The 22791-nt window shown below is 34.8% G+C and overlaps 1 long non-coding RNA gene across 1 annotated transcript; it reads left to right on the top strand.

Moving 5' to 3' along the window:
- Positions 1–14678: 14678 nt before the first annotated feature.
- LINC01941 (long intergenic non-protein coding RNA 1941) lies at positions 14679–22565 on the top strand. The gene is made up of 4 exons (NR_146970.1): positions 14679–14741; positions 18537–18647; positions 19494–19731; positions 22354–22565. It is a non-coding gene; the product is annotated as a long intergenic non-protein coding RNA 1941 (long non-coding RNA).
- The last annotated feature ends 226 nt before the right edge of the window (positions 22566–22791 follow it).

Here is a 22791-nt window from a genome sequence, read left to right as displayed (position 1 = left end):
TAAAGAAGTCTCTGCCTCCAAGGCATGAAGCTATTATCCTATGTTATTTTGTAAATAATTTATTGTATTTTTTATTTCATAATTAAATATACAGTCCCTCTGGAATTTATTTATATGTATGGCAGGAAGTAGATTGTCAATGGCTGTTTTTTTAATACAGATTTGCAAGAGACTCCACAGCATTTATTGAAAAAAGAAAATTTCAGTGTTTTTCAATGTATCTTGATAACGACTTTTGATTTTTTTGTGTAGAGGATTAGCACAACTTTTATTTATTCTTAGGTATTTAGTGCTTTTCATTAAATATTTTTATTTTCTAAATCTCAGCTTCTAATTGTTGCTGAAATACAGATATGTGGTTGACTTTTAATCAGGTAACATTTAAAAATTCACTTGTTATGTCGACTAATATGTGTCTATCTCTCTCTTTTTTTTTAACAACCTAGTTACTCAAAATGTTGGTAGTTTTATTATTTCATGCCTGATTGCACTCATTAGAACACTCTCAGCATAATAGTGAATAGAACCTGAGAGTGTAATTGTTTTATAGTCTTCCAAACTCAGAGAGAAAACCATAGTATTTCACCTTGAAGTAATATGCTTGCTCTAAGTGTTACCTGGTATCAGATTTAAGAAAATTGTGTCCTTCTTAGTTTAAAATTCTTCAAAATGTATTTTGTATGTATTAAATGTCTTTGCATCTATTAATACTTTATCCTTTATTTTATTTTATTATGTGATATATATTGCAATAATTTTAAATAAATATTTTCTTATTAAACTACATAAGCAAAGAAAAGTGCACAAATCATAAATGTACAGGTAAATTAATTTTTCATTATTTTCAGTTTTGTTTCACATGTGTTAACTTTTGTATTAGATATTTACCTAGTAGTGGAGTTCCTGGATTATATGTACCTTTCTCATGAGTTTTTCTTGAAAGTTCTGTTTAACTTGTAACATCATCTCACTCTCAGTAGCCTTTTTCAGGTTTGACAAACGCCTCCAAACTTAAAGAGATTCCAAATAATGGCGTATCTCTCCATTTCTCTTTTCCTGAATTCTATGCAGTAATATTTGTCTATATTTATATATTTATTTACTTAATTATTTACTTAGTATAGTTTTTCCAAGTGTCCTCATCACAAGTTTTGGGTCAGTTTCTGTAGTAAGCTACCAGAGGCATCTGACAGACCATTTGTTGACTAAATTAGTGAACTGCCTATCTGGTCTTTAATGTTAAACTCAAAAGATTTGGTTCATCACAACCAGTAAATTACCTTTGTAACAACTGTATTTCAGATTATTTCTGACTCTTTTTAAAACAAGATCTAAAGTCCCACGCTATCATTAATTAATAAGGCAATCGGTCAGAAAACAGAAACTACTTTAGAACTGTCTTACATGTGCTAGAATACTATTAATTAATTTGGGGAAAACAGTAAAGTTAAAATTTATACGTGCTGAGTAATTTAAAGTCTTTAGCTCATGATTTTATTTTTGAAAAGCAGATTTCTTTTGACAAGTTTTCATTTGCAATAATGAGCAGATAAACCAAAAAAATGGTAAAGATATTTAGAAGATGAGTACAAATGTCATAGAACTTGATAGTTTTGTGTGCATGTTTATTCATATTTATGTATGTAGCTTTTTCACGAGTAAATCAGCTGTTAAAAATTTATGCATCTAGCCCAAAGATATAATAATCCATGCATAAATAAATAAGACTTTGAATACATTTCACAGAGAAAGAAAGCACCAAAGATAAGGAACTATTTAAATCTGTTTAACTATTTGAAATGAGAATTATTTGGCATTCTAATTATGAAGAGATGCTCCATTTAAAAAATAAGTTTACTTAGGGATTTTAAGGTCTGCTGTAGTAACCAGAATACAATGTAATTTGTTGCTGTTATTGGCTCACAGATACAATGAAACATCTGATAGGGAGTTTGAAAGAACAGAAATCAATTGAAAGCATAATGTAAAGGCATTTAAAAAATCCTAATGCAATTCTCAGCCAGCTTTTTTTGTTGTTCGTATGTGTGTTTACTTATTCATTCATTCATTGTATATAGTAATATATTTCCATGTTGCAATATTGAACCATGCTTACTATACATCTTTTGTGGTATCTGGTGAATTATTTCTATCCTCTCACTAAGAAACAAGGAAGGCTTTATCACGGTGTTTAATTTTATGCTAATCATTGAATCATCTGTGTAAGGATTTATTTAACAAATATGCTGATTTATCACAATGTTACCTTCTTTACTGTAGAAAGTAAAAAGTTTCCTTTTCAAAGTTCCCCTTCTTGTTAAAGAATAAATCATAAGTGTTAGAAATAATAGTTTCTTTTAAAGACGAACTTTCTTCAAGCTTCCTTGCTTTGTGCTAATAACTCTTTGCTAAGCCCTATCCTATGTAACTGTTGGACATGCTCACAGGTACATTCCAGCTCACAGCCTATGCCCCTTCCTTATTTGGAAATGTTACTGCTTCCTTAAACCTTTCATAAGCAACTTCTTTGCTCTTCCTTGCACTTACCTATTTAGGAAAGTTTTAGGATATTAGCAAATTCGGTGTCAGTTTGAGAGTATGAGGTCCCGCTGTAGCCAATGGACGCAGGACACAGCAGTAAGGACTACCGAAATGTGTAAGAGATAAATACATCTGCTTTTCCTTTGTTCAGGTGTGCTCTTGCCATTCTTCCATCTGCAATTGAGCACCCTTCCTGCTGAAAGCAAAGATGGCCTTGCTGAGAGATCTTTTGTCTCCGTGCTGACTTTTTTTTGCAGCACCCATTATCTATTTCTAACAATTTTGATATTTCTAACATTTATCATAGTTTACACAGAAACTTCACAATGGAGTGTAAGTGGCAGGGATTTTGTCACTCTAATCTCGAGTTTGACTCTTTTGACTGTGGAGATTTCTTAAGTTTTCTGTTCCTCAGGAATTATCACCTGATGGGGTGTTGTAGAATAAAACATGTCAGTACAAATGCTTGTTCTCTCTGCTTCTCACTGCGTCAAGAATCAATTCTTAGTCTAAAATACGTGGCCCTTTATTATATTCTATAATGAAGTTTTCTAATTATTTCCTGTTGCTCTTGTTACCCAAATTATTTTGACTTCTTTCAAAAATTAAAATGGTATTATAAAAAAGGAGTGTTGGATTTAAACTCAGAAAGACCAAAAATAGAATTTTCCCTCTAATACTTCTTAACTGTTGGATCTTAGGCAAGTTACTTCATCTTTCTAGTTTCATTTTCCTCATCTGTGAGATGGAGTTAAAAATGTCCACCAAATGGAATGGTTACAAGGATTAAATGAGACACTATATGAAAACTCATTAGCTGAGTTCCTGGCAGAATGTATGAATTCCATGAGTCCTCTTTTTTTCCCTGCCTTTCTTTCTTGAGAGCAGGCATTATATATTTTTTCCTAAAACGTTCCATTCCCCACTGCACTTATTGTCTAGCATGGATTGGGTCTATGGCTGATCAGAAAGAGTACTTGGTGTTTCAAACACAACTTGATAGTCAACATGCTTCTTCCCTGATATTGCCTTCATCTTTTTTTCCACACATATGTTGTGAGTGCCTGCTGTACACCAGGCATGCTCCTGGCAGCTTGCTGAAACCACTGTAAGAAACAGCAACTATTAAGACACTGCTTTGCCAGAACTTGAGGGTTAATTGATTAATCAGATAAGATAAAAAGAGAACAATAAAGTCATAAAGGTGAGGATGGCAGTGAACAGCCTTCAAATAGCTATGTGTTATAGTCCTCCTTATTACCCACATCCCAGTCAGTGTCTTATCCTTCATGAGGGGGATCCTTTTCCTTTCGGTCACGGCATCAAAAAATATTTGGTGTCTTTGGGGCATCATTGTTTGAAAAGAGGCATGGGGAGAGAGAAAGTCCTCAGACTGGTGTACAAGGCTGTTTCTGGACGAGCTTCCTACCCTTCCTCCATAACCTTAGTATCATGTACCCACCTACACATACACACATCCTGAGCTCTGTCCACAGAAACTACCCAATGTTATTATTCTGTGTGTGTGTCTTCATATGTGCATATGGATAACGGGACGACTAAACACTCATTTGAATCACTTATATGCAAAGTGGTTTAAAAATACCAGGTATTTGACTGACAGATCCACTTTTTATTTGCTCATTGATGACATTTAGACCCAGAATTGAAGAATCATACATAAACAAGTTGGAAATTATGCCCATATTGGTCTCTGGGAACTTTCTACTCAGCCCCAACATAGTTCTAATTAAGTTAAAATAATCATGTGGGCTATGTTTCAAAGACAGAGAGAGAGCACTCCCCTCTGAGAATTTATGTTAAAGTCAGTTATTATGAACTAAATTTGAAATCCAAAAAAAGATACTCACTATTCTGTATTTAAATCCAAACCTGCATTATCATATGATTTTTTATTCAGCTTGTATTATGAATATTTGTTAAAGGCTTTTGTTTCCAACCCTTCTCATAATATATTAAGGTGGTTTCATCTCAGTCATTTTCTGAAATTGGATATTGTATCATGACAATTCCATGTGCATGTTAATTGAGAAGTTATTGAAAATACAATTAAAACTAATGGCAGGCATTGTTATTACCATTGTTATTATCATTATTATTACACAGCTGTATTTGGATATAATTTGATCTTTTCAATAGCCCTGTGAGGTAGAAAAGACAGTATTATAATCAAGAATTTATAAACGGCATCTAGTGCCTAGCTGAGGATATTTATCCGTTGGGTAAATAGTTATGTAGCTATTTTGTGCCAGGATTGGAATGAGGTCTCCTGGCCTTTGACCTGGTTTTCTTCATTGATCATAGACTTCATTTTATTTTTTTTTCCCACTGTAAGAATCAAAGTATTTAAGTGCCACCTACAGCAAATTCAGCCCTAGAAGGTTTTGGGCTAAAGCACACATGCAGACATTTCCTTAAAGGTAGCTTTTAAAGAACACAGTATTTCCTTTGCCCCCTTCAAAAATTAAGATTGTCTTTCTAGCCTATTTTCCATTGTGGTTGTGTCTTTCTTAGCTTTGGAAAGATTCTGCTAATTTTCCCTTCTGGTCAACTGCTTTGCCCAATATTTTATCTATTTAGAAGAGAAAAAATGTCACCTCATTTGGCATATGAAAATAGAGAACTCTTTAGTTTTTCATCTGAGCAGGGAGATAATGGCTTTAAGCAAATGCTTGGGTATTTTGCACAAGGGTGTACTGCCTTCCTTATGGTCTCATCTTCTATGGGCACCTGCCTCTGATTCTTTAGGCTCCCGCGTTTCCTTCCATCCTTTCTTCCGCTTGGAAAGCTGATGGGATTGGGGATATGTGTTTCCTGCCCAGGTCTTCTGGCAGTGATTAGATAATCTTATCTACTTTGGAAAGATAAGCAAACAAATAAAAAACTTGGAAACAAACCTTTGACAGCCTCTCATGATAAGAGCATGCCCATCTTTCTACCCTCACACCCCACTTGCATATACTCAGATTCTTTTCTTGGGTAGCATGGACCGTTGAAGAAGGTCTGTACCTTTCATTAAACCTGTGTGTAAGTCCCATTATTACATTATCATTTATTTTGCCTCATAGCTTCCAATGTTGAGGAAGACATTACTTATCCGTGCCTTGGTAGAAGACACGTTTCTTTCTCTCTGTGTGCTATTTGAATGGGCTGTTTGTTGTGGCTCATCTTCAGTTGGGGCTCTTTCTAGACACTTTCTCTGTGGCCTCCAGCTCTGAGGTCTAGAGTCACATCCAGAGTTTCTGAGAGATAAGGTAATGGATAAATTTCAAAGTAAGTAAATAAATGCAAATAAAAATGAAAGTACTGCTTGCTGAGCTGCTTTGCAGAGGTTCCACAGATGCTCTGCACATTTCTCTGAGTTAGGCTCTACTTCATGAACTGAAGATCCTAAGGCCTAGAGAAATGAAGATATTAAGCCAAGTGACAAGTCAGTGAAATATCTCTGTATTTCACCCCAGCTCTCTTTTGCACCAAAGTGTCATCTCTTTCTGCTCCACTATATCACCCTGAATACACACAGGAAAAAAGGCATAATGAGAAATGGATGCATTGTTAAGACAATGTATCTCCAGTGAAGAAGAAGAAAATTCCAGATCTCAAACCCAAGTTTTGCTGTTACTACCTGTATCCTCAGTCAAATTTTGTAATCTCTAAGGACCTCAGTGTTTTCAACTCTAAAATGAGTCTAGCAATGCCTTCCTGAAAGGGCTGTTGTGATGATAAAATGTGAATAAAAACACTTTCACTACCTGGAAAGTGCAATGAGGGCTAAGACACTTGAAATGTCTTTGAAATGCATGTTATTCATCTTAAAACTGAAATAATTGCCAGTTACTATCTGCATGGTCTCATCCAGTTCTTAGACTTCATGATTCTATCTTGATTGTGATCTTTATATTTGATCCTTTTACTGTTGTCTGATTCTGTAAGTGCTTAATTCATCCTAACCCAAACAAAAGTGCATTGTTGTAGCATGTACAAGTATATCCACCACCATTCAGATGAAAGTTCAGCCAGAATACAAAGATATGCCCTTGGGCACTGGCTCCTACCAAATCTGAGACATGTGCAGTGACAGGAAGCACCACTCACACATTACTCTTACCAATGCCAGGTATGAGAGCAGGACTAGGAGGCCATAAGGATTTTATGGCAGCCCTGGGCCATGCGAGTGCATAAGAGGTCCGTACTCTAGAGGTGCAATAGCACAGCCAATAGCATTACAACCTCTGGAGTCCCACTGTCTGAGTTCAAGTCCTGTGTGACCACTTTCTAATTGTGTGGCAAGTTACTTCTACGCACAACTGTCCCATGTGTACAATGAGAATAATAGCTTCAACCTTTCAGGGTTTTGACAAAGATTAAATGACCTAATAAGTATCTAGCACTTAGAAAAATATCTCACAAATAATATAAATTAGATATATTTCTTGCTTGATTCTCAAAATAATCCTGGGTAATAGGAATTGTAATAAGCAAATGAAGGTTTGATAGGTAAAACAATTTTCCCTAGATTATACCTCCAGTAAGGAGATGCATCTGGTATTCAAGCCCTGATTGTCTGGACTTAAAGCCTGGGCATCTCTAATTTAACACAACACTATCTGTGTCCAGTGAAATGATTATGTGTATGCAACTATAAGCCTGGAAAAGCAAATCTGCAATGACAGGTGTGTTACTCCAAAAAATTTTTCAGAGTAAAATGTCAACACTAAGAAGTATACCTGCTGAAACTTAGAGATGCTTGAGGGACAACAAATCTTGGGGCAGAACACAGCCACAGAAAATAATGATTTAACAAGTTTTCTAACTATCAGGGAGCAAAATAATATAAACACTTAACTGCTAATGGCAATGATTATAAAATCAAAGCAGTATTTCATGAGATTTAGTGCGATGCCTACAAAATGGGGGTTATGTTTTCTCAACTTTTGAAAGTGAGCTGAAAATAAAATTGCACATCATTTTATAATTAAAGACTTTGAGGGCCTCTAAAAATTTTTATGCTCACCCCTTAGTTACGTTACTGTATTGCCTGTTGTCAATGAAAAATCAAATGGCTTTAGCAGTAGTAAATTATCAAGGTATAACAATTTAATATTCAGTGTGATGAATGAGGCCCCAAATTAAACAAAAAAAATCACACTGAATTCAAGATCATCTAAGAGAAAATCTACCAGCTAATGTTAGGTACAGAGGCAAGTAACCTAACATTGACTAAGTATCACTATTAAATGTTCCAGGCTCTGTCATGGGTGTTTTAAATGGCTACTTCATATCATCCTCATAACAGACCTATGAGACCTAATTTATTAACAGGTAAATGGTAACAGAACTATGTTTGAAAAACAGGTCACTATAACATGTCCTTCTTATCGTTTTTGTTTTTCCCACCTTTCCTCTTGGACCCTCTGTTTTTCCTTCTTTCTCTTCTTTCTTGTTTGATTCCCACTTTCCCCAAATAATTTAAGCAACATTTACTGAACATGGATTACATATGGGACACTGGATTAGTTGATAAAGATTGAATGGGGAGCGAAATCCTCTCTGGAACATTTCAGTGGAGCTGAACCTAAAGTGGAGGAAATGAACATAAACTATTACACCCATGAAGGTAAAATGACACCTAAGATAAGTGCCGTGAAAGAAAGAATATGATTCCACAGCAAAAAGGAATATGCAGTTAAAGAAGTCATCCTTAGGAAATGATACTTTAACTGCTACGTAGAAAGTGAGCAAATTACCTAGGAAAATGGATGAATGTGTGAGGGCTTGAGAAGTATTCAAGATAATTGAATTGTACCTGAAGAGGCCAATGACCTCGGTGGGTGGATTACTGGGATACAGAAGCAGGACAGGAAGGCTGAAGCACAAAGACCTAAGGTAGGTAGTGAAAGATGAAGCTGAGTACGAGAGCCTTCTGAGGTTCCTTTTAAAAATGTAATTTCATTGTGGTTTTGATTTGCATTTCTCTGATGGCCAGTGATGAAAAAAAAAAAAAGAAAAGAAAACTGCACTTGTAACCTCTAAATCTATAAAAATAAAAAAATTTTAAAATTAAAAAATAAATAAAAATGTAATTTCATTTTATTGTCCCCAGGATAAATATTTTATTTTATCTTAAGAAAAATAAAAAACAATAATACATCAGTGTTTCAAAAAGTTGAATATGATGGCTAATAAAAAAAAAGGATAGATAATTTGGGCGGGGGAGGAGAATAGGAATGAAAAAAATGTATGTGGTACTACCAAAAAGAAAAGGGAAATTACCATGCGCTGAGCAAGAAGAAATAATGTCTATAACTATAGAAGTAGAGGGGTGGTAGTGAAGATAAAGGGAAAATTCTTAAAAGAATATCCTTTATGTGAACTCTGTTATTTCTAGGTATTAGCAATTTTCTTCCCAAATGTGATTAAAATACTCCTATTAGTTAGGATAAGTAGTATCTGAGATTGTCACTAAATGTCCACGGGGGCTTACCTCAGTCAATGAACCCAGTGGATTGGGAAAAAAAATATCACTGGGAGGAATATGAGGACACAACGGTAGTCATAGCATAAGTTTCATAGCTTATACAAACATTAACTCAAAATTGATCATGGACTTAACCATAAATCATAAAACTATAACACTTTTAGGAAAGAACATAGAAGAAAGTTTTTGAAATTTAGCATTAGGTAAAAAGTTCTCAGACTTCACACCAAAAGTGTGACCATAAAAAGAGAAATTGATAAATTGGACTTTATTAAAATTAAAAATTTTTTTGTGTTATGCAAGTTCCTGTTAAAGGGATGAAGTAAACCTACAGACTAGAATACAATAGTGTGGCCAGACGCAGTGGCTTATGCCAGGCACAATGGCTAATCCCAGCACTTTGGGAAGTTGAGTCGGGTGAATCACAAGGTCAGGAGTTCAAGACCAACCTAGCCAACATGGTGAAACCCTGTCTCTACTAAAAATACAAAAATTAGCCGGGTGTGGGGATGCACACCTGTAATCCCAGCTATTTGAGAGGCTGAGACAGGAGAATCGCTTGAACCTGGGAGGCAGAGGTTGTGGTAAGCTGAGATGGCTTCACTGCACTCCAGCCTGGGAGACAGAGCAAGACTCCATCTCAAAAAAAAAAAGTACAATAGTGCTTATCTAATAAAAGACTAGTGTGTAGAATCAATAACTCACAAAATTCAACATTAAAAAGCAATCAAATTAGAAAATACAAAAAAGACATGAAGAGTCACTTCACCAAAGAGAATATATAGGTGGAAAATAATCCCATGGAATGATCATCAGTCATCAGGGGAAAAAAAAAGAACTGATTAAAACCACAATGAGATATCATGACACACCTATAAGAATGGTTAAGTTGAAAATTAATGGCAGCACCAAGCATCCAGGGATAACTTATGCTTCATCTATTGCTGGTGAAAATGTGAAATGGCAGAGCAACCCTAAAAGGCAGTTTGACAGTATCTTACAAAAATCAACATGCAGCTTCATAAAATCCAACAGTTGTATTCTTGGGAATTATTACCAGAGAAATAAAAACTTACACTCACACAAAAAAACTGTTTATAGAATCTTTATTCACATTAGCAAAAAATGGGAAACAACACTGATACCTTTAATAGGTAAATGGCTAACAAATGGGTATGTTCATAACAAGGAATATTACTCAGAAATAAAAGGAAGTGAGCTACTAATACAAGCAACAACCTGCAGGATTCTCAAGAGAATTACGCTGAGTTTTTTAAAAAAAGCCAAAAAGGTTACAAACTATATTATTCCACTTGTATAATGTTCTTAAAATGGCAAAATTATAGAAATGGAGAAGATTAGTGGTTACTAGAAGATTGAGTGGCATGTTTAAGCAAGAAGGAAGTGATGCAGATATAGAAGAGCAACATGAGGAATCCTTGTGGCGATGAAAATATTCTGTTTGTTGAATCTGTCAACGTTACCATTGGGAGCATGATGGTATACTATAGTTTTGCAAGATGTTAACATTGAGAAAACAGGATAAAGTGCTAATGGGATACTTACATTATTTTTCTACCTGCATGTGAATTGACAATTCTATCAAAATAAAGCATTCAATTAAAATAATAATTTCTCATAGAAACAAAGAGTAGAATGGTGGTGGGGTGAGATCCCAGAGATAGTCAAAGCATACACAATTGCAGTTAAATAGGAGACATAAGTTTAATAGCTTACGTACACATGGTGACTATAGTTAATAACAATGTATTGTAGTTTTAAAAATTTATTGGAGTAAAAGAAAAGAACAATTGAAATACATTTCTATACATCTGAAAAATATCTGATATATTAATAAATAAAAGAAGTAAATTGCAAAGTAATACAAATAATGAGACTCAATTTCTGATCTAAAGAAAAAGACAGAAAACAGAAAATTATATGTGTACATATTTGTATAAGTGGACACACCCCAGACTATTGACACTGGTTTCCTCAGGGATAAACTTATTAAGGAAAGGACTACTGTTTTTCTTTATATATTTTTATATGGCTTAAATTATTAAAATAAACATCTATAGTTTTGTGATTAAGGAAAATATGAAAGATCATATTTTTGGAGAAAAAAATCCTAGCCTTTATAACACATAAAATGAATCACGTTTTTACTAAGTCTGGGTGTGTGCAAGCAAGTGTAGGGGCCTGCATAGAAGGTGGCCACCTTCTATTGGGGTTTTCTGCCTCCTGCGTAATTAGCTCCAGCTGCTGATGTACTTTACAGAGTCCCTGCAATTCTATGCGTCATGGTTTGAAAACCACTGCACTACATAGTATCAAATATATTGTCAATGTCTAAGATTATTGAACAGATGGGAAGTCCAAAGTCAATGGGAAGATCTCCGTGGTCTCAGGCTGCACGTGACATTCAGAATGACCTCTCTAGTCTTGCTCCACTAGTGACTGTTCACTTACCCCATATACATGTCCACGTGGTCTCTTATACTTTTGTAAAAGTATAACCCAGGTCAAGGTCATCCTTATGAAAGTTGGGTGCCCTAGCCTGGATATAGGCTTTCTCTGGGAATACCATGTAACCACTCACCCTGTCAGCATTGCTGACCCTGTGGGGCCTACACTCTTTTTGGTAGTCCTGATCCTAAAGTGACTTCTACAGCAAGTTAATTACTCCCAAGTTCACAATTGTCTTCTAGATTCAGGGAAGGCTGCCATTCAAGATGCTACTCATTTCCCACTGAGACTCACAAATTTAATTGCACAAGTGCATTATACATTACTCATTTAAAAGATAGCTATGTGTTTAGGTCCGTGTGTGTGTGTGTGTGTGTGTGTGTGTGTGTGTGTGTGTGTTCCCCTAATATATACACATGTATCTTCATCTATTACTATTTTTATTTCTATATCTGCATCTATATAAACACATATGTACATACACATACGCGCGCACACACACACACACACACACATATATATATATATCTTTTAGAAGTTTTAGATTCTGAAGGCAAATGAAATAAATCCTTTCCATAGTAAAAAAAAAATTGTTTATTTCTAGTATGGTTTTCTCAAGTAAAATCCATTTCATCTAACTTCCATTGCTTTCTGGAGATGGCCTTGTTGCAAAGGGGAAAAAGACACAAACAAATATACACACATCAACAGCAAGGCAATCCTTTCCTGTTCCACACATGATTAAAAACATAATACATTTTCCATTCTGTGACACTATCAACTTTTCTCCAGCCATGTTTAATCCCATGACCTTGAAAGGCTTCAGTCATAATAGAATGAAAGGAGGAGGAATGTGGGGTTTGATCTCGCAAGTGGAAAGAATCTCCTATTTTGAGCCGGAGCTCCTATTTTGATCCAGAATTCTGAAAACGAATTAATCTTTTCACTCACTGAAGAGGCAAAAGACCCTTGGCTGCCCAAAGATGCTCAGAGATGAGTGTCTTTGACAAGGGCAGAGCCTGGGTCTTTACGTTAGTGATTGGCAATAAGAAAAGAAAGAAATATTGGGGCAAATGGAGGGCAGAATGCTTCAAAATCTCAGAAAGATAGAGTAGAAAACGGAAAATGTATCCCTTGGTCTTAATGGCTCAGCATGAACCAAAGCACCTATTTGGAATGTGTAGAAGACATTGTACAGTTTCAAGAGTTCACAGAAATTCTTTCAAATGTTCTCCCACTAAAACAAATTAACACCTTTTTAGTGTTGGGAAAAGGTAGGGAGAAAAAATATTCTTAATCCTATCATCAAAAACAATGTGTTAACATTTAAGGTTATTTCCTTATAGAGTTTCTCTATACTCCATATATGTACTGTATAATTATGATAATTCTGGTTTAAAGCCATTTTTCCTATTTATTAAAGCTAAATACTTCCTCTATACTATAACAAGTTCTTGTTATAGTAGACTACATGGGAACAAGGAATGTGATTTTGAGTGTGAGTCTTTCACATGTACATTTTATCTGATTTAGACAAAATTCTAATTAAATTGATTTCATTTTTCTCATTTTAAAATAGTAGCTTGAGTAATACATTCCTTATAGGATTATTGAGATGCTCAAATAATAAAATATATAAATAATTACATAAAAATCATCATATGTTTATGACAACTTATGGTACATAGTAGTCAATAAAAATTAGCTAAAAATAATAACATGATTTGATACTCCTATTTTAGTTTATTCTATGACCGCCTAATAATTTAGTTAACCAAATAGCTATTGTTAGACTTTTAAATTATAGCAAATCTTTACTTTTAAAAACTGTCAAGATACTATGGATCACTTGACTTGTATTTTTTTTTTTTTAAAGCCTTATCCACCATGATCAAGTGGGCTTCATCCCTGGGATGCAAGGCTGGTTCAATATATGCAAATCAATAAATGTAATCCAGCATATAAACAGAACCAAAGACAAAAACCACATGATTATCTCAATAGATGCAGAAAAGGCCTTTGACAAAATTCAACAACCCTTCATGCTAAAAACTCTCAATAAATTAGGTATTGATGGGATGTATCTCAAAATAATAAGAGCTATCTATGACAAACCCACAGCCAATATCATACTGAATGGGCAAAAACTGGAAGCATTCCCTTTGAAAACTGGCACAAGACAGGGATGCCCTCTCTCACCACTCCTATTCAACATAGTGTTGGAAGTTCTGGCCAGGGCAATTAGGCAGGAGAAGGAAATAAAGGGTATTCAATTGACTTGCATTTTTAATTATTATTTATTTAGGATAGTTTCCCAGAAGTAAGATTGCATGCTAGCAGTTATTCTCTTTTTAATTGTTCTTGACACATATGAATTTTGTTTTCATTAGGAATTTACCAATCAATTTTTTATGTCAACAACATATGAGCATGTATATCTCTTAAATACATTTTCAAGGACATAGTTTTATATTTATTTCTCTCAAATCAATACTTCGTCATTGAAAATTAAGTCATTGTTTTTGTTATTCTAATTTAATGCTTTCAAATTTTATTAGTTATATATCAATTATATATTATATAATTTTACTTGTTAATTATATATTACTTATTATATATTAATTTTAGTTATTAACTATATATTAGACATTTTTGAAATATTAAGTATCAAATGTCCTTATCTTTTTATAAAAAATAAATATTCCATTTGAAGGTCAATCATTATTTCATATTTACACTGTTTATTTATAAATACTACCTAATCAATACTTTATGAACTTTAAAAAATTTCTTACAGGTGAACAAAATAAATGTAGACATATTTATTCTTGCTTACTTATTTATGTGTGTTGGGCTGCCAGAGGTATGTTTATGAAGGGCATCATAAATTGCTAAATTTACTTAACAAATAATTAAGCTTACTTGTCAAATGACTCATAACACAATTTGATCAAGTTCCATGGCTAAAATTATGTTATGACAAAACACTACAATAAGGGGCTGGTTGGTTCTTAAATATGTTAGATTTTAAAGGAAAAAGACTTCTATTTTTATGGTATCTGTTGACTTCTAAAATTATTGTGATGTCATCATTCTCCTTTCCACCTCTGTGAATTCATCCATGCCATTTCCTCTGCCTGAACTGTCCTCCCAACAAAATCCTGCTCACCCTTTAAAACATACCTCTGACAGCTCCTTCTCTGGGCAAGTCGCATGAGCCTCTCCTCTCAAGGTATATAGGTACACTCTACACTGCCACTCAGCACATACCTATCATAACATATGTGTGGTTTTGGAATTACTTAATTTAGATTCTCATTTTCCATATTATCCTGCCAGATTCTTGAGGGTAGTAATTGTCTCATTAGTCTACCAGATCAATGTTTGGCTTTAAAAAGGTGCTTTGTAAATATTAACATGGCTTCATCTTAAGGAAACTATATTGGTCTCTCCAAGTATGTGCCCATGTGTGAAGCCCAGTGTCCTCTGGTCAACATTTCCCCAATTACATTCTCTAAGATTATGGACTCTTATGGTGCTCTTCCCTTCCAGGGCCCATCAAGGCAAATTGGCATATTCTCCTGATGTTTTGCCCACTGTATCCCACAGGTCATTAGGTGAATTTGTGTTATTTTTTCACTTGTCTAAAAGTGCTTATTAAGTATAGTCCAGAGTTATATGGAGATTTTTTACCATTCAAGAATGGATACTGGTGGGTATACTGAGAGCCCAAAGGAAAATAGTAATATAAGATCTTTGCTGTAAGCTGAAGTCAAAATTTCATTGGCGATGTTGATGCTCCTGTGTCTGCTAATATCTTTGTCAAATACCATATGATGTAAATTGTTTGATCATGGTGAGAGGGTTTAGGGGAAGGGGTAGAAACATGCTGAAATAGAAGAATATTACAAAATGTTGCAGTTGGAGAACAATTTCTAAATTAACTTGATCTATATTTTCTTTTTAGTTAGGCCTGATGCAAACACATTTTTCACGACTCCACTGGAAATCATGTTGCTAATTAAAACTCCTGTGCTATTGGAAACCCAGAATTGTCCTTTTCACTGTATACTACACAAAACCCCAGGTGCAATAGCAATGCAAATATTGTTCTGGGAGAGATAATAGTTTGTTGAATGAATGAGTGATCTAGTAAATTACTGAGCTGCTAAAAACAGTAATTAACTGTGGATACACATGATAAATTTTATTTCTACCTCTCCCATTATATGCCTACATTTAGGATGGCATTTGTGCTGCAGAGCAGATACTCAATGAATGTTTTTATTTAGGGAATAAAATCATTTGCCATTGTATATGTGCACTTTTTAAGTCCTCTACCATTAGAAGAAAATCTCCATGAAGCCAGAAATCTATTTTGTAGTTTCTATTTTCTGGGAAGAATTTACTGAAGCACAGACCCACAGTGGGAGGCCAGTTATTCATTGACTGAGTGGATACTTGGATTTAAAAGAAAAGCATCAACGCTGGACTATGGCACAGGATGATAACAAATTCATCAATGTAACAATTTTGCTGATTTCTAATGGCTACCCGCCTATCACAGTTCCAATCAGATTGATGGTGTAATGAGCTAAATTTGCACCAAAATAACAGTTTGATTATTGAGTGGTTTTGTAAGCTAAGTTGACAGGAATGTAGTCATTAAATCCATTGTTTATCACTTGCTTTTTATTTATTTAATTGGAATAGGTTTCTTTTGAAGCCATTCGACAGATGTTTGATTACGATAAGATTTATTTTGGCTTGAAATGCTCAATTAAAGGGTCACTGATTATATCAGTCAGGGTTCAACTAGGGGAGCAGAAAAGTCAGACAGGTAGTCAGGAAGGGAGGGTCACAGGCAAGCTCAAAGCCACAAGCACAAGTTGAAGCTGTCATCCACACAGTCAGGAAGAGAAGCTCAGTAGCAGGACTGGAACCCCATGGGGATGGAGCAGGCTGCTATCCACAGGTGGAATCTCTTCCCCCTCCCAGGGAAGCCACAGTCTTGCCTTGGCACCTTTCAGCAGATTCAGTCCGAGCCATGCAGTTATCCAGGATAATCACCATGACTTAAAGGCAGCTAATTGGGGCTTTCATTACATCCGCATAATCCATTCAAAGCAGCACTTACATTATTGTTTGACTGAATAACAGGATATGTAGCAGAGTCAAACTTACACGTTAAAAAAGCCGTCACATCTTTCTCCACCAGGCCTAAGATTCCACTCCTCTACACAGAGACAGAAGGTCAGGGAACAATAGGAGAAGGATTTTGCCACACACACACACACACACACACACACACACACACACACACACACAAAATCCATTTCATGAAGTGTTCTCTATTCCACACAGGCAGGGAAGATCCTACCAAAATAAGCAAGCCCCTAGCTCACTAAATATTATTTGTCCCCTGCAGACTGGAGACTCCCCTTCCTTGCCTAGCAGCAGCAGGCACCTCAAATATGGAAATGACTCCTGCCCTCCAGGAAGGAGGCCTCAGCTGCCAGCAAGGACCAGTGGGAGCCCCAGTTGTTTGAGATTGTCAAGTTTTTTCTAAAATTTATGTGAAAAGATGTGGGCCCTAAAATAGCTAAAATCATAAAAGATTAAAGTGGGAGGAATCACTCATTCAGTATCAATGCCTACTCTACAGCTGCAGTGATTATTTAGCCACACCAGTTTTGGTACCTTCTGTCTGTTATGCTCCCAAGCTGACCAAAGAGATAATTAAAAATAGTATATAAATCACTTCTGTCTTAGAAGTTGACTAATGTTGTATTTTTTAATACAAATATAATATTAAATGATTTCCAAGTTTTGTTAAATGTAATTTACTAATTGTTTCTGCAGTGGTGTCACCTTTCAAGGACAATATAGTATTCTTTCCTTTATAACGTTGTAATGAGACTTTTAAAAATATGAAAAATATTTGTTGGTGTTTTAGGTGTGGCTCTGTGCTTCATGATTTACATGCACCGTCATTAAGTCCTACTACAGCTTATTGGCAAGTATTATTTATTCCATTTTACAGATGAAACTGGAGCTCAAGGTAGAAGTTAGATGAGTCAGAATTTGAATTAAGACATTTTGAGTAAAAACCCAAGTTCTGTCATTGTGCAGACTCCACGCCCCCTTCACCAAAAAAGAAAAAAAGTCATTAATTACACATTTACATATTTTTCCTTTAAAAAATGTTACTTTGGGAAAATGCATTTGTTCATATATTTGAAACATTTTCAAATATCGAGCCCCACTTTTAACAGGATTTTAGAGCCAGTATGCCAGCAGCAGGAATACAAACACAAACAAACGAAAACAGTTATTACTTTATAGTCACATTTCATTTTTATAAAATATGTTTCATCAACTTTGTAACTGGTCTTTTTCTCTAGTCTTTCTAAATGTCATCTATTTCTCATATCAAACTCTTTCATAATATTTATCTGTTTAAGCAGGCATGCTACTGATTCTGAATGCAGTTGTAAACAGGAATTCCAAAATTAATTTTAGTTATAGAGGCATTTTGAAATAAGTGGATAACTCTTGTGTTTTTTTTTCAATTTATACTGAAAATATTACAGTATTTAATATATTTAGGAAAGTAGAAAAACAAAACAATTTATGTATCATCACATCCCCTCAGTCCTAGAGTCAAGAAAATTGGCTTTTTATCTCAGTTCTGCTATTTAGTTGTAAGAAGTTCAGTGGCTTTGAGGAAAGAACCCAGAGATTCTTTTCTAATCCCCACTTTCCTAATTCTAGACATTCATGCAATAATTATAATGCCAGCCTTATGGGTTATTGTGGAATAAATGAGAATGTATGTGGCATGCTTTCATTGATTGGGCACCGTATCCTAGGATAGCCTATATTTCACACACATATTCTGCATGGCTGCATTCATAATATGCACTGTTTTATGATGGGAGCTACCCATTTTCAAACATTTGTTATGAAGTTTTGTATAAAAAGTCACATGCATGGATAGATGTGAAAGAATTTTCATTTTGTTTAGTCTCACCAGGAATTTAAGAGTAATTCCCAAATTGCTTCTGGGCCTTGACTTTCTGTCATCTATTCAAATGTCAAAACCTTTTCCTGGAAGAATGTGCTACACCTGCTGCAGGTATGACCACCACGTTTTTGGATTTATGTGCCACCTATTGGCTTCTGAAGTTTGCTCATACTGAATAAATTCTGATCTAAGTTCTCTGCATTCCTGGAAAATGGTTCATAATTCAATGAAACTGTTATAGGTAAAGATGAAACAGAGAATTTAAGTGACATGTAGTAGATCTTGTGTTTGGTTAAATTCAGAACTAGAATTTTATGTTCATAGAACATTTGTTTTTAGTGTCCTCCCATTTTCTCCCATCCCCCCATAAATGGACAGTGTTTAGATTGCTGTCATTTCATGAGATGAAGTGAGGGTGCTGCTGTTTTTCTGAGTCAGACCTCTGACCTTTCAGGGTGACGCTAAACACGTTCTCATTTCACATTTACAGCAATTACATTAGAGATTCTTTACTCTTGAATTGCTCTTTCAAAGAGGACTTAATTCATTGTGTATTTTATAATGAATTTAATCAGTTACTTGAATAGCCAATATTCATTAGAAATAAATTATTAAATTAAAACACTATTATTTGTATATTATGTCATGATGTACCACCTTCACTCCTGTTTGACCTTGACAAGGTAAATAAACCCACAAGGTATATATTATCGTTTCTAATGTGTTATGTAAATGAGTGAGCATAGGCTCAGAAAATTTCAGTGCTTAGCCCAGAGAAAGAAGGTGACAACGCTGAATTTTAATTTCTGTGGCACAATTTTATGTTCCCTTTAATGTACCGTAATATCATGTAACCTCCAATTAAGCAACGTGAATGAGAAACTAAAGTCTTTTAATCTATTGTTTGATATATCTTATCACGGGCTTTTATATTTTCTCTCTTTTTGTGTCACACAGCTCCAGTTATGCCCTTGATAAAATCAGTCAGAATTATTTGCTATACAAGAGTCATTCATTGATTTGTCCATCCTTTCTATAAGCATTTCCTGAACATCTATTATGAGCAAGATACCACATTGGATGCTAGATAAAAAGAACAGAGAAATAAAGTCTATTCTTAAAGGCAGCACAGTCAAGGGAGGTATGGACAAGTGAATAAAGTGTGACAGTCACTGTGATGAGGGCTATGCTAAAGGTAAGCACAGGTGCTTGTGAGAATGCATAAGAGAGAAAAGGAGAAAAGTCTTAATATCAATGTCAACTTTTTTTAAGACTGCTTAACTCACAAACTAAATTAAGCAAACAAAACAAAGTGAGCCTCACAAAAGTATAATCTAATTTGGCATAAATTACATTTAAGAGTAAATCATTGAATAGAAACCTGAGTTACTCTAAGTTTTCTGAAAATGAAGATCACAGATTGCATGATAGGGCTTATTCTGTAACTTGAAAGAAGAAAGACTTTGTATTGTGAATGTATAGCTCAACAATGGGCTGTTGGTGCCAAGCAAGATAGCATAGGAAAGTGCAAATGCACAGGAGTATTTATGCCAAATCCCATTGCTGATATATGCCTTTTAAAATGAATCCTTCAGGAAAATTCCATATTGGCTCTAAGGAAAACTTCCCTTAAACTTTGTCTTTGGTGCACTTTCCATACGCAACTATATTCTTTTGACAAGAAGATGAATGTTAATTTTTTTTATCACAACAGTTTTTCTTATGCTTCATCTCCTGCTTGGAAACCTTTCTCTATATTTATCTAAATGTCCCCAACCCATAAAGGCTTAGTTTTAACAATCAACTAATATTGGGCAATTAGGTAATGTGCCAAGTACTTCAGTAGATGCTTGAATTAGAAAGGCAAGTAAGACAGGTTTGTCCTGTTCCTCATAGAACATTTTTTTGTGTGGTGGATTTAAACATGGCACTTATTTCACAGATATCTGATTACAACTTTGGTAAGTGCTGCGGAGAAGGTGAGGGTATAATGAGAGGGTGCTAATATGCTGCTGAATCACAGAAAGGAGATGGTGGTGCTTGTGGCTGACTCTAGGTTATACCAAATAAGTAGACGCAAAGTTGTACATGATCTTCTTGACTTTAAGGGTACTTATTGAAATTTAAGTTATTATTTTAAACACATTTATATTTTATAGACATATACTTGTTTATGGAGGTAAATACAAATTGAAAGGTTGATGTCACAAGACCAGACAAGAGAATATTTCTGTAAGGCAAGAGAAAAAATCTTATTCTAGGCTAGCATGTTACAGAGGAGATGGAAATAAATTGATAGAATTAAAACATATTAAACAAAAAAGCAGTAAATATTCATTGATGGAATATAAGAATAAACAAGAGATGAGTGAAAAGCATCTAATCTACTTGTTGGCTTGTGTGACTATGGTGGATAGAACACAGATAGCTAGAGAAAATAAGGTTAGAGATGAAGATCATGAGTTGACTTTTCAGCATTGAGACTTTGATTACCTATACGAAAAGTCTAGATAGATGTATTGAGTAGAATTTTGAAGTATGGAACTAAGAAAGCAAGTCTGAATTAGGGATCCAAATGTGGGAACTGTAAGACAGAAATTTGAGCCATCAGGATGGAAAATGTACATATATGTACATTTGTACGTATATGTACCATTTGTACATATATGGCAGGAAGGGAAGAATATCTTTAAACAGAAAACCTTGAGAAGTGCTTATACATTTATCAATCCAGTAGAGGAGATTAAATTGGCAAATACAATAAATTAGGTATGCCTTAGCCCAACCAACTCCACTCAATCCAGATAATTTAAACTGAACATGAGATAACTCTGCTAACACCTGCCCTTGACCTTGCCCAAACAATGTACTTAGTAAGTAAAGAACTTTTTTTCTTCATGTGCAAGGCTAATTCCAAGAACTGCCTCTCTCACGCCATCCTGGAATTATCCATCATCTCAGCAAATTAAAATATTTGAATACAAATGAAGTTCATATGAGAAAATATATTATTTACAATAATGGAAGCCACGTTTCTTCTGCTTGAGAAGTTCTCAAAAAGTACAAAACAAGAAGGTGAAATACCAGGGGAGTGAGCAACAAGTGGCTCGGGCTCAGACCCCTGGCAGTTACTTGGCCAGAATCCCTGCCCCTGTTTTCCCCTGCCCCGTATCCAGGGTAGGAAGGAAATAAAGCTCTCTCCATCAGAGAAGGGAATTACAAACATATAAACAGGTAGGGTGAAAAAAAAATGAATTCTGTGACATTGGAGTGAAGTTGAACATATCAATATTAGCTCAGACTTAGGATAGAAGATAGATGATAGATGAGTAGATGGATAGATAGAGAGAGACACAGAGAGAGAGAGAGAGAGAGAGAGAGAAGAAAGATAGATGGTAGATTTTCTAATTCTGTCAGTTTAGAGGGCCTAGAAGCAATGAAATCCCTGTATCAATGAACACATGCAGCACCCAGATTTTAGTTTTCTAATATTCTCCACTAAAGGGAACAACTGATCTTTTTGAGAAATAGCAAATTCCAGACTGTGTATGGGAAGTGTATATGAGTCTCAAATGTCTTCTTGTTCCAGAAGGTAGAAGATTGCTTAAAAAATGATGGGAACTTATTAGAAGGACAAAAGAACCTATTTAAATGACTTTTACTGGTCTAGTATGGGAGAAACTCATCATAAAATAAGTAATGGTAGTAATGAATCATAATCTATTGAATAAAATAATTCATTAGTCTAATACTGACATATATATACATTTATATATACGTACATAAATACATAAGATAATAAAATTCTTCCTTATAGGAGAAAGGCAATTAGTAAATGTAGAAGAAGAAATGGAATTTGAAAATCACTATTTGGCCACCATCATGGTAATAATTGCTTGAGTCAAGAATCATCAGTGGATCATTCTAATGGGTGGAAGTTTAACCACTAACAGGATATTTCATGGTCTCAAAGCCTCTTCCCACAAGATGTTTATAATAAAAAATAAAAAGCAGAAACTTCAGAGCAAAGAAGTCTGACAGACACTGCCAAAATCAGTCAAGCCAATATCATGTGTTTCCTAATACAATGCACTAAGAGAGGCACAATATCACTTCTGCAGCATCCTTGCCAAAAACACCTAATGATAGTTTTATTATGATGAAACAATGAACCACTTTCAAACTGAGGACATTTTATGAAATAATTTGTCAGAACTCTCAAAAATTATCAAATAAATGAAATATAAAAAGAGCT

The sequence above is a fragment of the Homo sapiens genome, chromosome 2 (genome assembly GCF_000001405.40).
Source record: "Homo sapiens chromosome 2, GRCh38.p14 Primary Assembly".
NCBI classification, from domain to species: Eukaryota; Metazoa; Chordata; class Mammalia; order Primates; family Hominidae; genus Homo; species Homo sapiens.
Note: the sequence above shows the minus strand (reverse complement) of the source record. Positions and strands in the feature narration are given on the sequence as shown.